General features: G+C 36.6%; 2 annotated features.

The window, feature by feature from the left end:
* Nucleotides 12,484-12,985: an enhancer, noted in NCBI's record as "H3K4me1 hESC enhancer chr12:84264433-84264934 (GRCh37/hg19 assembly coordinates)". NCBI's record gives its function as "activates a minimal SCP1, AML or CMV promoter by ChIP-STARR-seq in primed H9 embryonic stem cells {active_cell/tissue: H9 hESC(primed)}" and the evidence as "EXISTENCE:reporter gene assay evidence [ECO:0000049][PMID:30033119]".
* Nucleotides 12,986-13,485: an enhancer, noted in NCBI's record as "H3K4me1 hESC enhancer chr12:84264935-84265434 (GRCh37/hg19 assembly coordinates)". NCBI's record gives its function as "activates a minimal SCP1, AML or CMV promoter by ChIP-STARR-seq in primed H9 embryonic stem cells {active_cell/tissue: H9 hESC(primed)}" and the evidence as "EXISTENCE:reporter gene assay evidence [ECO:0000049][PMID:30033119]".

The following is a 15,498-nucleotide window of genomic DNA, read 5'->3' on the forward strand; positions in this document are numbered from 1 at the left end:
GCTTTGGCCCCATGTGGTAGCTGCAACAGGACAGCCTATCCTCAGGGCACTTATGCATGTGGTACAATCCTGCTACTGGGAGTGGTGGGATCGCTGCCAATGCCTTGCACTTTGGATCTGGCAGCAGCACCCAGCAGTGGTGCCCAACAGAGGTCAAGGATGTCAATGGGGCTCCAGGGATGTGGAGATGCAGGAGGTTTTGGGTACCAAGGCAGGATGCAGTCTGGTAAGGGCTCAGCTCTCCAAATGACACTGTACAGCAGCTGCTTAGAACGTGGAGGATGTGTGGGACCCAGTGTGAGCTTATTTGGAATACTGTCATTGCATGGTCTCTAGGCAGCTTCCTATGTTAGTCTCAGGGCCCACTTGAATTGAGAGGCTCTTTCATGGCTAGGATTGCCAAAGTCTGTTGTGGGAATGTGAACTGCTAGGGGTCACTCACCCTCCCTGACACTGGGGTGCCTCTCTGGGCTCCCAGCCAATCCCAGCAGAGCAGGCTTCCTCACTTCCCTCTCCTTCCTTGCCTTGGATGTTTCCTGTCATTTCTCTGTTGAATTCCAGAATTCTCTCATAGGTAATATATTCAAAGCTTATTTATCTACTCATTATTTTGGTTCTTTGTTGGGGAGGCAAGTCCCAGATGCCTTTAGTCAGCCATCTTGAAGCCCATTCCTCTAATACAGAGTTTTGACATACGCATACATTGTGAAATTGCTAAATCAAGCAAATTAACATAAGAATTACCTTCTATACCTATTTTTTTGTGTGTGGTGAAAACATTTACAATCTACTCTCAGCAATTTTTGAGTATACAACATGTTGTTATTAACTATATTCTTAACAATGTACAGTAGATCTCATAAAATTATTCCTCTTATCTGACATTTTGTACCCTTTGGCCAAAATCTATTCAATCTCCCCTTTCTAGTAACCATAACCTTAAAAAAGAAGGAAAGAAAATCCTGTCATTTATGACAACATAGATGAACCTGTAAGACATTATGGTAAGTGAAATAAGCCAGCCACAGAAAGATAAATGCCACATGATCTCATGTGTATGTGCATTCTAGAAAGATGAACTCATAGAAGCAGAAACCAGAATGTAGGTTGAATACTTATTTTTGAACATTTATCATGGCCCAAATGTTGTTTTGAATTGAGAAAGCATGTCACAGAAAGTAGAGTTGGAAATATCATCCTTAAAGGGCAGAAAATATGCCTAGTTTTCCTAGGTTGGAGCAAATACAGTGAAGGCAGGTATAATTGTAAATACAATCATAGAGGACAGCAATTTAAATAAGTTCAATTTTGGCACCCATGATCATTTCAGTGATGCCACACATAATCAATTTTGAGATAGAAAACTTTTGTAGATTAGAAAAGTTTTATCTAGAGAAGTAAAATGTACATTTTGTTTTAAAAATAATTTTTATAAAAATGTGTGCCAACTGGTTAATGGTACCTGAAAGCATCATTAACCTGAAAGTGCTTGAGAGGTCCCTGGGTTTAGCGGATATCAGAGAATTAGGGAGTGGGGTGCCACCGTCCTCCAGGATTGTATGCCTTTCTGTAACACCATTCAGAAACCAAATTTAGGAGCAAATGAGATAGAATCATCTAAGTTAAAAAGTACAGGGTCCTGTGGGATTCAAAGGCATGAAGATCAGGATATAGAATGTTAGCAAAAGAGTGGATATAGTATTGCATTTTATTGTGGAGGCAAGGAAATGATGTCATTGAAAGAGTGAGAAAGAAGAAATTGCTACTTCCATTTCTGTTTCCCATGATTAATTGTGAGTGCTTTGAGATCAAAGTATATATTTCTTTTTGCTATGTATGCATAGTACCTTCTCTGGCATATAGTAGTACTCAATTGAATTGAATTGAATTTGTAAAAGAAACTTTGATTTAAAAATTGACAAAACTTCCACAGTTTATAAAAGTATATTTTTGAACACTGAAAATGGGTTAAAGCCACAGTATCCACATTTTCTTTCATAACCAGATACTAGTGAGGCAATGGAAATTGCTTTCTGTAATGAGTTACAGTGATTTCTATTTAGGGGCAGAAGTTGTCCACTGACAGGCTAGACTTTCTCACAGAAATCTCTCCAAAACCATGCATTTTAAGCTTTTTTGGATAGTATTGAATAAAGGAATCAAAAGTAGAAAGGCTAACACTGAAAAGAATGGCATGATGCTCTGTGTTATTCTTTTTCATGTGTGAGATGTAATATAGGTAGAAAGACAAATAGCCACTGATAACATTTAAAGAAAACCAAGTGAGAACTGTAGTGTGGGTATATTTAAAATTCCTAAGTATGAAAGGAAAGGAATAACCTATCATGAGGTTAAACTCTCTTTTGTTCTGCTTCTGCTTTTAAATACAGCATGTGACAGGTTCTGCAATAACATGAGACTTAAAAGTAACACAGTGCTTGAAGTAGCACTTTACACTTTGACTGCCCAGTGAAGAAATGTATGTGTTACCGTGAGGTTTTTTTCTTAGTATATATTAGCAACATTTTTACAATGCTGGCTAAGCTAATGTTTCACTAATGCACAAAAAATAAATGTTTATCAAAGGCAACTATTTTATAGCATGAATAGAGAATTTTGCAATAAAAAATTGCTGCACTTCATTGCATTCTAGTAATTATTGGTTTAATGGAACTAAGACAAGTTTCTTGAAAAACCTTATTAACTTTAATTAATTAATTTATTTATTTATTTTTGAGATGGAGTCCCGCTCTGTCACCCAGGCTGGAGTGTAGTGGTACGATCTCAGCTCACGGCAACCTCCACCTCCTGGGCTTTTAAGTGATTCTCCTGCCTCAGCCTTCTGAGTAGCTGGGATTATGCACGCCTGCCACCATGCCCGGCTAATTTTCATATTTTTAGTAGAGATGGGGTTTCACTTTGTTGGCCAGGCTGGTCTTGAACTCCTGACTTCAAGTGATCCACCCCCCCTCAGCCTCCCAAAATGCTGGGATTACAGGTGTGAGTCATCGTGCCTGGCCCTGATTAACTTGAAAAGCTTAGCTTTATTGTCAGAATTCTAAAACTGAATACTTGTAAAGACAAGGTTAAAATGTCCTGTAAAACTTAAACTATGTTTTTTTCTTTCTAAAATATTATTTGTATTTTTCTAGCAGCAAGTTTTGTTTTTGTTTCAAAATGTGCTATGTAAAAAAAAAATAAGAAATAAATAACAATCATTTCTCAGCCTTTTTGCTAAGATCAAATATAGGAATCAACATATTCAAACAACTCCATTATGTATGTTTGTTTATATATATGCATATATATGTACATTTCATTTAAATAACAGAAAGATAAATTCTATAGACTCATAGGGTATAAAAAGAATTTTTAGAAATCTTCTAAAATAATCCCTTTATTTTATAGAAAATCAAGTGAGGATCAGAGAGATAAAATATCCAAATAAATGGATTTAGTTAAAAAATATTTTCACTTTCAGCATATACATTTGTATTAGTCTGTTTTCATGCTGCTGATAAAGACATACGTGAGACTGGGAAGAAAAGGAGGTTTAATTGGACTTGAAAGCAGTTCCACATGACTGGGGAGGCCTCAGAATCATGGCGGGAGGTGAAAGGTACCTCTTACATGGCAGCAGCAAGAGAAAATGTGGAAGATGCGAAAGTGGAAACCCCTGATAAATCCATCAGATCTCATGAGAGACTTATTCACTACCATGAAAACAGTATGGGAGAAACCACCCCCATGATTCAAATCATCTCCCACTGGGTCCCTCCCACAACATAACATATGGGAATTATAAGAGTACAATTCAAAATGAGATTTGGGTGGGGACACAGAGCCAAACCATATCAACATTCATATACTGGCTGATATTTTTTGAAGAAAAAATGATTCTAAATGAAAATGCATACATAAATTGAAAAATTAATACAAAATAATGGACTGCCAATAGAACAGAGGAAGTATTATTGCATTGATTCTGTCCAACTCATGCTCTGTGGGTAACAAAAATATACTGACTCCTTATTTTTGAAGATTTTATGAATTAAAAGTCAGAAAAAGCAAAAGCAAAATGAGTTAATGTGACACAAATTATTCCAACCTATACCTTGTAAGAAACTTAGAAGTACAATTGTATGCTTATGTTTCTGTATTTCTAATTTTTGGAAACATGAACATAAATAATATTATGTATATGGATTAGTTAAGTCACTTATTTTTGACTTATTATCCCAGTATATTCTAGAAAATGAAAAGGAGAAATTTTAGACAAGCTCACAGCTGCCCCTTCAGTACCTAGCATTGTACTTGATGTTGAAAAATGATTTTGAATTAGTAAGTGAATGAGTAGATGCTTGATGGAAGAAAGATGTGTTAGGCTCATATGTGGTGTATGTTCATTGTACCTTCTAACAGCAGGCATCTTGCTAAAGCTTAAGCAATTTCTGGTGTCCCTGCCTAAATATATTTAGGAAACAATTATAGCCATTAGTTAATTTTCATAACAGATTTTGAGCCTATTTCAATGCTGAGGCAAACAGTAGAACCACTATATTCAAATGCTGGGAGAAACCTGAGGTCACTTATTCTAGACACATCATTTTGCTGTTGAAGCTGGAGCCCAGCAAAGTTAAATAACTTCCCTACAATCATACAGCTAATAGTGCAGAGAATGGGAGTGCTTGCCTTTTCCTACTTCAGTGTTCTTGTCACTATCCAACACTATAAATAAAAACTGGAAGGCTCTAATTTTTTTCCCTAACTTTATCTTAGTTTTTTTCTCTGTTTGTTTTTCCATGTAAGTCAGAATCACTTTAAAAAATTAAATGTCCATCAATGATAGACTGGATTAAGAAAATGTGGCACATATACACCATGGAATACTATGCAGCCATAAAAAAGGATGAGTTCATGTCCTTTGTAGGGACATGCATGAAGCTGGAAACCATCATTCTGAGCAAACTATCTCAAGGACAGAAAACCAAACACCACATGTTCTCACTCATAGGTGGGAATTGAACAATGAGAACACTTGGACACAGGATGGGGAACATCACACACCTGGGCCTGTTGTGGGGTGGGGGGAGGGGGGGAGGGATAGCACTAGGAGATTTACCAATGTAAATGACGAGTTAACGGGTGCAGCACACCAACATGGCACAATTATACATATGTAACAAACCTGCACGTTGTGCACATGTATCCTAGAACTTAAAGTATAATTAAAACAAAAAGAAAAAGAAAAAAATGGTCTTTAAGTAATGGGCATCTACCTAAAGGCAGTTTAGCTGAAGCTGTTATTGGAGGTAAACTTAACTCAAATGTATGTAACTATCATTTTTATCATTGAGCGTTTGCTGTAGGTAGACCCACTTCTGAGTGCCTTATAACATTACCATTATTATTTTATTTAGTCCCCACTCTAACCCTATAAAATTAGTTCTATATTACTGCCATTTGTTTGGGTAAAAGGAAATTATAGTGGTGGGAAGTTCAGTGGTTCATCTAAAGTCACAATAAACAGGAAGGCTAACATACGGTTAGTAGTGCCAACTACTTCCAGAAGAGTTTAAGAAGTTTCCTTTCTGAAGCTAGCTTGGTCATCATGCCTCAGATTGCATGTTTCTCAGCCTGGATTGATCTTGTTGGGGTCCTTTGGGTTACAGCACAGCTCTAAAAAGGAATGCTTGGGTGGCAGCTAATGCCAGATTATTACACCTATTTGGCAATCATATGTATCTTTTACATAGTTCAAATATAATGAGTGTTATAGAATATCACATTTTAAAGTAAATTCATAAATTTTTATTTAATTTTATTATTTTGAACAAAATGTGCTCACTTAGTTCAATGTAAAGGAAACTTAAATGTTTTATAAGCTGGTTATTGACTTACTGGACCTCACAGAGCTCTTACAAAACATTATTTAAAGAAGCTAAGTGTAAATATACTGGAAACATATGAATTAAATTTCCCTTGAAATGTAGTGGGTTTAAAAATTGGGAGGAAAGTGTTTGGCCAAAGCATTTTATGTTTTGCCAAACCCCGGGTGTTTGAACAAATAGTTTTAAACATTTTATTGAAGCAAAATGCTACTGAGTATACACATTCCTTAAAAACTTGTATTTATTTTTTGACTCATAACCCATATTATGTTGGTGAAAATGAAAGGGTTCTGGGACAATGCATCAAACTATCTAGAGTATTATTGTAAATTGATAATTTAGCAGTGGTCAAGGATTGACAGAGCGAAGCAAAGTGTCCTCTACTCAAGCTAATAGCCATAGAACAGCACACTCATAAGGTTTGTTTTTCCATGAGAGAAAAACCATATACAATGATTTTAGAAAACAAAAACCTGGTTCTCAAATGTAATGACTCTAATCATTGTAAATGTGGCTCAAATTGACTAAATGGGTAATGAAACAATTTTAAGAATGTTACCTGGCCACAATAGAATAATGAAAAATGTGTGTGTGTGTGTTCATGTGTGTGTGTAGTTATTTAGTCAAATTAGAACCAAAACACATAAAACAGAATCAGCAATACCCTACTTCCTTCACAATGAATAAGCCCCAATTTATAAGTACTCTGGTGGGAAAATATTTATAAAACCATATTCTGCGATTGCAGGTGGGTATGACCTACCAAATCCATGCTTCTGCTGGGTGATCCACTATGGCTTCACTTCTCTGCAGTTTAATGAACTTATGTTTGCTTTGTGTCTACTTTTAAAAATTAAATATCTCAGAGTGTTAGGTCATTGTTACCTAATTCCTTAGTAAGAATTGTTTGAAAATTATTTGTGGCTGGATTGACAGCTGACTGGAAACAAGGCTTTGTGGGACTAGATTCTGGTCTAACAATCAGATGGAAAATGTCTGGGACATGTAAAAACTCTCACTGTAAATGTTCTGCAGCATGAAAAGGCTTGCCTGGCACTTTTAGTCAGAAATTCACCAAAATTTCTTCATGGTTGGGTCTTGCACTCTTTATGGGGCATAGTACTTCCCATGACCACATCAGGGTACATGCTAGAATATTCTTCCCTAACTCTGCTGTTAGGCAGTAAATTCATTCTTCTTTCATTTCTCAGATTAAACATTACTTACAAGGAAATAATTGGGACCACTCTAGCTAAAGGGGGTTCCCAGTGGTTTCAGTTAGCTTCTATCTTATCTTCTTTTTTCTTTCTTTTATAGCACTTACTAGAATTTTGAATTATTATGTTTATTATTTAAAAGTTTAAAATTTATGTCATCCACCAGAGGAGTTCTGTGGAGAAGGGTAATGGAGTTCTGTGGAGAAGGGTAATGCCAGTCAAGCTCAGCACTGCCTCCCTAGTGCCTAGAGTTACTTGTGCTTGGGATTGAACAAATACTTTTGAATGAATGAGTAATTGCCTGATGGAAGAAAGGTGAACAGGCTCCTATGTGGTATAAATTCATTGTACTTAGCAACCTCAGGCATCTTGCTGAAGCATAAGCAAATTATGAGGTTCCTGCCAAGCAGGAAATTAGCAAATGAACTTTACATGAACTGAGCCAATGGCCACTGTTATAGCACCATATTCTATTTCTTTACTCAGGGTATGAGCTTGAATAAATATATCTCCTGGACGGCACTTCCAGAAGGTTTGGAAATTTCCCAATAAACTGTTGATCAGATTTATAGATATGATCAGCCAATGCCTGGAGAGAAGCAGATTGAGGGAGAGGCTCAATCTAAAGGACTGAGATTCTGTACTTCAGTAAAGTACCTTTAGCCTTCCATGTGTTCAAGCAGCTGAATGGAAAGGAAGGGATGGAGCAGGGTGTAATGCTTCCTGTAAAACTGACTGCAGATTCGATCACTTTGGAAAAGACTAACGAACATCTCTACTGACCTGTAATCAGTTCGTTTTCCAGGCAAGGACTTCACGAAAACAGTGGCCCAAAATACTGAGCTTCAATGGAGTCCTCTTGCCATGAGAAAAATCTCTGACTATCCTCTAGGCAGACACATAAGGTTTATTTGAACATTCAAGCAACTGAAAAAGAAATTCTCAGGATCTTTCTCTCTATTTACCATCATCAAGCTCTGTCTTCTAACTCTAACATCTTTTATTTTCCACCCCAGTTTTAAATCAGTCTCTTGTGTCCTCCTGTCTTGCTGCACATATTATTTTGGCTCTACCATGTGCCCAGACATAGGAAATATAGAAGTAAACTAGAAAGTTTCCTTTTCTCATGGAATGTATACCCTTTTCTGTGAACCTCAACAACCTAGGACCACATTCATGAGTGGAAAAACTCAAGGCAGGCAGGCTGTTTTATGATTTTCCTAGCTTTCAGGTCCATCCTCCTATTTCTTATGTTGAGAGGAATACATGCAAAGGAGGGATCTGGGAGGTTGAATTCCTGCACAGAGCTCGGTGTCATTTTCCCATTGCCATAAAAGAAAAAACCCCGATGGGTAATGAGTGGGAATGCGGCAGGCATAGTGACTGTGTGGGGTGTTAGGAGGGAAGTGCAAGTTGGCAAAGAAGCCAGCATCCTCTCCAGACTTGGCTGGTTGCTTGCTGAAACTGCCTTCGGTTTTCTACCAGCATATCTGTCTCTCACTTCCTTCTAGCCTCATTTTTAACTCCCACAGTTCCCCATATTTGGTGTCCATTCATAATAAAGAGTTAGAAATCCAAATGTTGATCATTTTCCAGACAATAAATTTATAATTTCAAATTGGACTGAAACTGGCTCATAGATTCTCTATTTTCCCCTGATTTTTGTTTTGAGATGCCTGAAATCACATTGGCAAGTAAAAGGAGAGGCCAAAGGTTTAGAGGGACAATGTTTTCTCAATTAATGGAAGTTGTAGTGAACGCTTAATAACAGTAAAGATAAAAAATACTGGTTCAGCCAATAAAAATCCCTTTATATTAGAGGTATTTACCAAATATTTGATACTTTTGATGGGCATTCAATTTATAGGCCATATTAGTTTAACATTAAGATTGAAGTTAAGCAAATATCATCAAATTGACTGGGGTTGCACACACATACTTTTTTTCTTTTTGGTAAAGTGAGACTGGTGTATTAAAAAGGTAAAATATTTACAAATAAGTTATCTTTATAGTCTTATATACTCATTCTACATTTGGCAAAATTCTTTACTTATTATTCTTTGTAACTAGTCTAAATTATTTTTTTCCTGGAGAGAAATAATTTTGCCACGTTAAAAATATAACATAAGAGAATTATGAAATGGAAATTTGGCATACCTGACAGGTCTACACACATTTATTGAGTATTTATTCAAATTAATTTAAATGTATTTTATTAATGGCATAGTCCTGTGTGGGGAAACTACCTTTTTTCACTTTCATTTTAGGTTCAAGGGTGTATGTGCAGGGAAACATGTTTATCATCTGCTCAGATTTCCAAGTGAAAAAACTCTCTGGCTTAAAGCAATACTTGGTCCCTTTCTCACTACTCACTTACACACACATCTCCATAGGCAGAGGATTAAATTACTTGCAAAATTTGATAGAAGGAATTATGTACATTAATCTCCATTTTCCTCTTTATTTTGATGGCTGCCTCAAAAATCACATATTTGTGCTGTCAGTATGAAGCTTGTTGGGGAGAAGTCTTGACTTTTTTACATCTGTGCAAGTATGTTTAATTCTAGTTTGAAGTGTTTGCAAGCCCTTTATGCTGTAAATTTAAAGCAAGTTCTCTAAATAGCCTTTCAATAATAAACCTGATATTTTCATTTCAGTGTCTCTGAGTTTTGTGCTTTCTATTTCAATTAATTCCTAACTCAAGAGGGGAAGGAAGATGTTATTCAAATTCAAAATCCCAATACACCCAAAAAATTGTTTTAATTTTCTTTTACAATAGTATGATATATATTTCATATATTAACCTAATCCAAACGTGTAAACACTAAAATGTATATGTGTATGTGCGTTCATGCACATGTATCCACACATTTAAGAATCCTCATAAAAGCTTTCTGTAAATAATTTTTTCCCACATCGAATCAGCTCTCAGTTGGACGATAAAGTATGTTTTTATTCTGATTAAAACCTGGTTTTCATAGATTTAGGTTATGTATAACTTAAAAGTAACTTTCTCATGATGTGTGCAATATTTTTATAGTAATGAGTCTATGTAAACTATACTTAGGTGAAAAGATGAATGTAACTTAAATAAAAATATGTTTAAAAACTTCAAAGATATATAATGTTCATCCTTTGTAAATTATTTTAATTAATTGAAGCTACTTAAATTATTTTACTTATCTAATTAATTTATAAGTATTCTTAATTTTCAAAAGTTAACATTATTTTGAAGTAGTTTAAAGTAATTTGAAAATATTTTCAAAGATGAATCTGGGTCTACATTAAACAATTGTTTTGAGATTATTAGGCCTTAAAGACCTGTATTCTTAATTTCTCCATTATAATTTTTCTCATGGAAGTCAATTTACTAATGTGTAGAAGCTATAGGGTTGATGGAATTCATGAACTTATTGCCTGTCCAACAGAATACTTTTGAGTAGAAATGATGACAAGGACATACAGTTAATAAGTTAATTTGGAAATATAAGTATTATTCCTTCTATATAATAAATAAAAAGAATATTTTGGGGCTTCAGTCTTTCACTTTTAGCAGTATTTGTCTCATTGGTTGTTCTCATTTTGTATTCTTTTTCACCTATATCAATGAAATTGTGTCACTTTTTCTTCTACATCTCTGATGTCTCCTAGGTCATATACTTTATAGGTGTATCTTCTGTTCTCTAGTTATTAAATGTTTATGTTTCTCAAGGAATAGCCCTAAGTCTTCTTTCTACTTAATTTGCATTATCTCCCTAGCTGTATGCATGCATTACACATGAACTTCTCTAGCTTAGACAGTTTGCATTTATATTGCTAGTCTTAATCTTTCCTCTCAGCGCAGATGGATATAATATATTTAGCATTATCACCCATTTATGTAAAGGCTCCTCACATCTTGTCCCAATATCTCCACTATTCCTTCACTTTCTCAAGTTAGAAATCGAAGAGTCAGCATCTACAACTTCCTTTCCCTTAGTCTCTATATCCAATCCTTTCTCATGTCTCATTAAATATGTCTTCCATATCACAATAATCCATGTTCTTTTCCATTGTGATCATATTAGTCCAAGTCGCATAATTTCAGCCATTATCAATGGTGATTTAACATGGCTATTATTATAAACATCTGACTATTTAAAACATGTATGTTAATTTCAGCAAAATGTGAAGAGAAAAGTGCCTAGGATACAATTTTGGTTATGTAATGTTATATCATTAATATGATTTTAGTCAGAAAAATGGGGAGTACTAATTGATTCATTCCTTTGGAGATAGTATCCAATCAGAAGTACTTTGCAACCATAAGTAACATTTAAATCATTTATCCTTCTGCCTACTTGGTAAATTGCAGTAAGTTTACCAAGACGAAGATCTTTTGGTTATACTGAAAACAAAATAGATATTCTAATAAGACTCGAATTATTTTTAAGTGTGTGTATGGCATTTCTTGTAGGACTTGGTGATGTGTGAACATCATTAAATAGTGGGAGAGAGCTTTGTATCTGAGTTAGATCTGAATTTAAACTCTAACTTTGGTTGATTACTTTTGTATAACCTTGCATAGTTTCTTTAATTGCTTTCTACTTTGGTGTCCTCATCTGTAAAAGGGTAATAATAATATCTTCTCTTGGGTTGTTAGAAGTATCAACTAAAATACAATTAATGAAGCACTTATTATGAGGTCTAGCTCCCACAGCATGGTGAGCAATGCTAAAATTACATGTTATGGAAAATATTATTTTAAGTTTTTATTTTGTTTAAATTACACTGTGCAGACAGATTAGAACCTAAATTTAATCCTAAATTACCTTAATTCCATTAAGAAAATAATTTGATATATGGTTTGCTTTTTAATATATGCTTTTTAAAACTTGCTGAGTATGTTCCGTTTATTTTAAGGTGACTGAAATACTAGAAAGGAAGTGATTAGGCATACATTATAAATAAATTAATTAAAAATATCTGGTACCTGTCTTTTGCATACTTCTTAACAACCTGTCATAGCTCTGTTATAAGTTACTTTAGAAAGTAAACCTCTAGTAATGCATGCTTATCTTTATAAACCAATAGTAAAACACCAATTGTGCCAATGTGCAATTGTTTACTAAATTTTAAATCATCTGAATTTTGAATTTGGAAATTTCAAGCCAAAAGAACTGACTAAATATAATTTGCCTTTTTTGGATATTTTTGTTTTGCTCATATTTTTTTTTCTAAGTAGACTGTTTCATGCCCAATTTTCTTCATTCAACATATTTTACAAAAAGCATATGGAAAAGCTGTTTTATATCTCCCATCAGGCATGTGGAGGTTGGTGAAAAAACAGATCATAAGAAAACATTTAAAAATTACATGAAATACATTCAAGATGTGAAAGAGAAACCAACGGCAGATTTTGCATGGCCTGGCATTTAGGAGTGACAAAAACATTGGCTCCAAAGTTATAATTACACTTTTGCTGAAATTACTAAAAATAAATTAAATTGTATAGCAATATTTATTTTCTGCTTTCTATAATTTTCATGGTCCAAAAAAAATATTCAATTACCTTTTGAGATAGGTTACTGATTTTTAATATATTTTAGGTGTCTGCTAATATTTAAATGAAACAGAAAAAGCAAATACAGTTCTTCTGGACCAACAGCTATATAACAATCATATCATTTGGATTAGAAACTGAAAACCGGTGGGAGCCAAGATGGCCAAATAGGAACAGCTCCGGTCTACAGCTCCCAGCGTGAGCGACGCAGAAGACGGGTGATTTCTGCATTTCCATCTGAGGTACCGGGTTCATCTCACTAGGGAGTGCCAGACAGTGCGCGCAGGACAGTGGGTGCAGGGCACCGTGCGCGAGCCAAAGCACAGCGAGGCATTGCCTCACTCGGGAAGTGCAAGGGGTCAGGGAGTTCCCTTTCCTAGTCAAAGAAAGGGGTGACAGATGGCACCTGGAAAATCGGGTCACTCCCACCCTAATACTGCGCTTTTCTGAAGGGCTTAAAAAATGGCACACCAGGAGATTATATCCTGCACCTGGCTCGGAGGGTCCTACACCCACGGAGTCTCGCTGATTGCTAGCACAGCAGTCCGAGATCAAACTGCAAGGTGGCAGCAAGGCTGGGGGAGGGGTGCCTGCCATTGCCCAGACTTGCTTAGGTAAACAAAGCAGCCTGGAAGCTTGAACTGGGTGGAGCCCACCACAGCTCAAGGAGGCCTGCCTGCCTCTGTAGGCTCCACCTCTGGGGGCAGGGCACAGACAAACAAAAAGACAGCAGTAACCTCTGCAGACTTAAATGTCCATGTCTGACAGCTTTGAAGAGAGCAGTGGTTCTCCCAGCATGCAGCTGGAGATCTGAGAATGGGCAGACTGCTTCCTCAAGTGGGTCCCTGACACTGAACCCCGAGCAGCCTAACTGGGAGGCACCCCCCAGTAGGGGCAGACTGACACCTCACACGGCCAGGTACTCCTCTGAGACAAAACATCCAGAGGAACGGTCAGACAGCAGCATTCGCAGTTCACAAAAATCCGCTGTTCTGTAGCCACAGCTGCTGATACCTAGGCAAACAGCATCTGGAGTGGACCTCTAGCAAACTCCAACAGACCTGCAGCTGAGGGTCCTCTCTGTTAGAAGGAAAACTAACAAACAGAAAGGACATCCACACCAAAAACCCATCTGTACATCACCATCATCAAAGACCAAAAGTAGGTAAAACCAGAAAGATGGGGAAAAAACAGAGCAGAAAAACTGGAAACTCTAAAAAGCACAGTGCCTCTACTCCTCCAAAGGAACGCTTTCCTCACCAGCAGTGGAACAAAGCTGGACCGAGAATTACTTCAACGAGTTGAGAGAAGAAGGCTTCAGACCATCAAACTACTCCAAGCTACAGGAGGAAATTCAAACCAAAGGCAAAGAAGTTAAAACTTTGAAAAAAATTCAGACGAATGTATAACTAGAATAACCCATACAGAGAAGTGCTTAAAGGAGCTGATGGAGCTGAAAGCCAAGGCTCGAGAACTACGTGAAGAATGCAGAAGCCTCAGGAGCTGTTGAGAACAACTGGAAGAAAGGGTATCACTGATGGAACATGAAATGAAGTGTGAAGGGAAGTTTAGAGAAAAAAGAATAAAAAGAAAATAACAAAGCCTCCAAGAAATATGGGACTATGTGAAAAGACCAAATCTACGTCTGATTGGTGTACCTGAAAGTGATGGGGAGAATGGAACCAAGTTAGAAAACACTCTGCAGGATATTATCCAGGAGAACTTCCCCAATCCAGCAAGGCAGGCCAACATCCAGATTCAGGAAATACAGAGAACACCACAAAGATACTCCTCAAGAAGAGCAACTCCAAGACACATAATTGTCAGATTCACCAAAGTTGAAATGAAGCAAAAAACATTAAGGGCAGCCAGAGAGAAAGGTCGGGTTACCCACAAAGGGAAGCCCATCAGACTAACAGTGGATCTCTCGGCAGAAACTCTACAAGCCAGAAGACAGTGAGGGACAATATTCAACATTCTTAGAGAACAGAATTTTCAACCCAGAATTTCATATCCAGCCAAACTAAGCTTCATAAGTGAAGGAGAAATAAAATACTTTACAGACAAGCAAATGCTGAGAGATTTTGCCACCACCAAGCCTGCCCTAAAAGAGCTTCTGAAGGAAGCACTAAACATGGAAAGGAACAACCGGTACCAGCCACTGCAAAATCATGCCAAAATGTAAAGACCATCGAGGCTAGGAAGAAACTTCATCAACTAACTAGCAAAATAACCAGCTAACATCATAATGACAGGATCAAATTCACACATAACAATATTAACTTTAAATGTAAATGGACTAAATGCTCCAATTAAAAGACACAGACTGGCAAATTGGATAAAGAGTTAAGACCTATCAGTGTGCTGTATTCAGGAAACCCATCTCACCTGCAGAGACACACATAGGCTCAAAATAAAAGGATGGAGGAAGATCTACCAAGGAAATGGAAAACAGAAAAAGGCAGGGGTTGCAATCCTAGTCTCTGATGAAACAGACTTTAAACCAATAAAGATCAAAAGAGACAAAGAAGGCCATTACATAATGGTAAAGGGATCAATTCAACAAGAAGAACTAACTATCCTAAATATATATGCACCCAATACAGGAGGACCCAGATTCATAAAGCAAGTCCTTAGTGACCTACAAAGAGACTTAGACTCCCACACAATAATAATGGGAGACTTTAACACCCCACTGTCAATATTAGACAGATCAACGAGACAGAAAGTTAACAAGGATACCCAGGAATTGAACTCAGCTCTGCACCAAGCAGACCTAATAGACATCTACAGAACTCTCCACCCCAAATCAACAGAATATACATTTTTTTCAGCACCACACCACACC

Source organism: Homo sapiens, chromosome 12 (assembly GCF_000001405.40).
Source record: "Homo sapiens chromosome 12, GRCh38.p14 Primary Assembly".
In the NCBI taxonomy this organism is placed as follows: domain Eukaryota; kingdom Metazoa; phylum Chordata; class Mammalia; order Primates; family Hominidae; genus Homo; species Homo sapiens.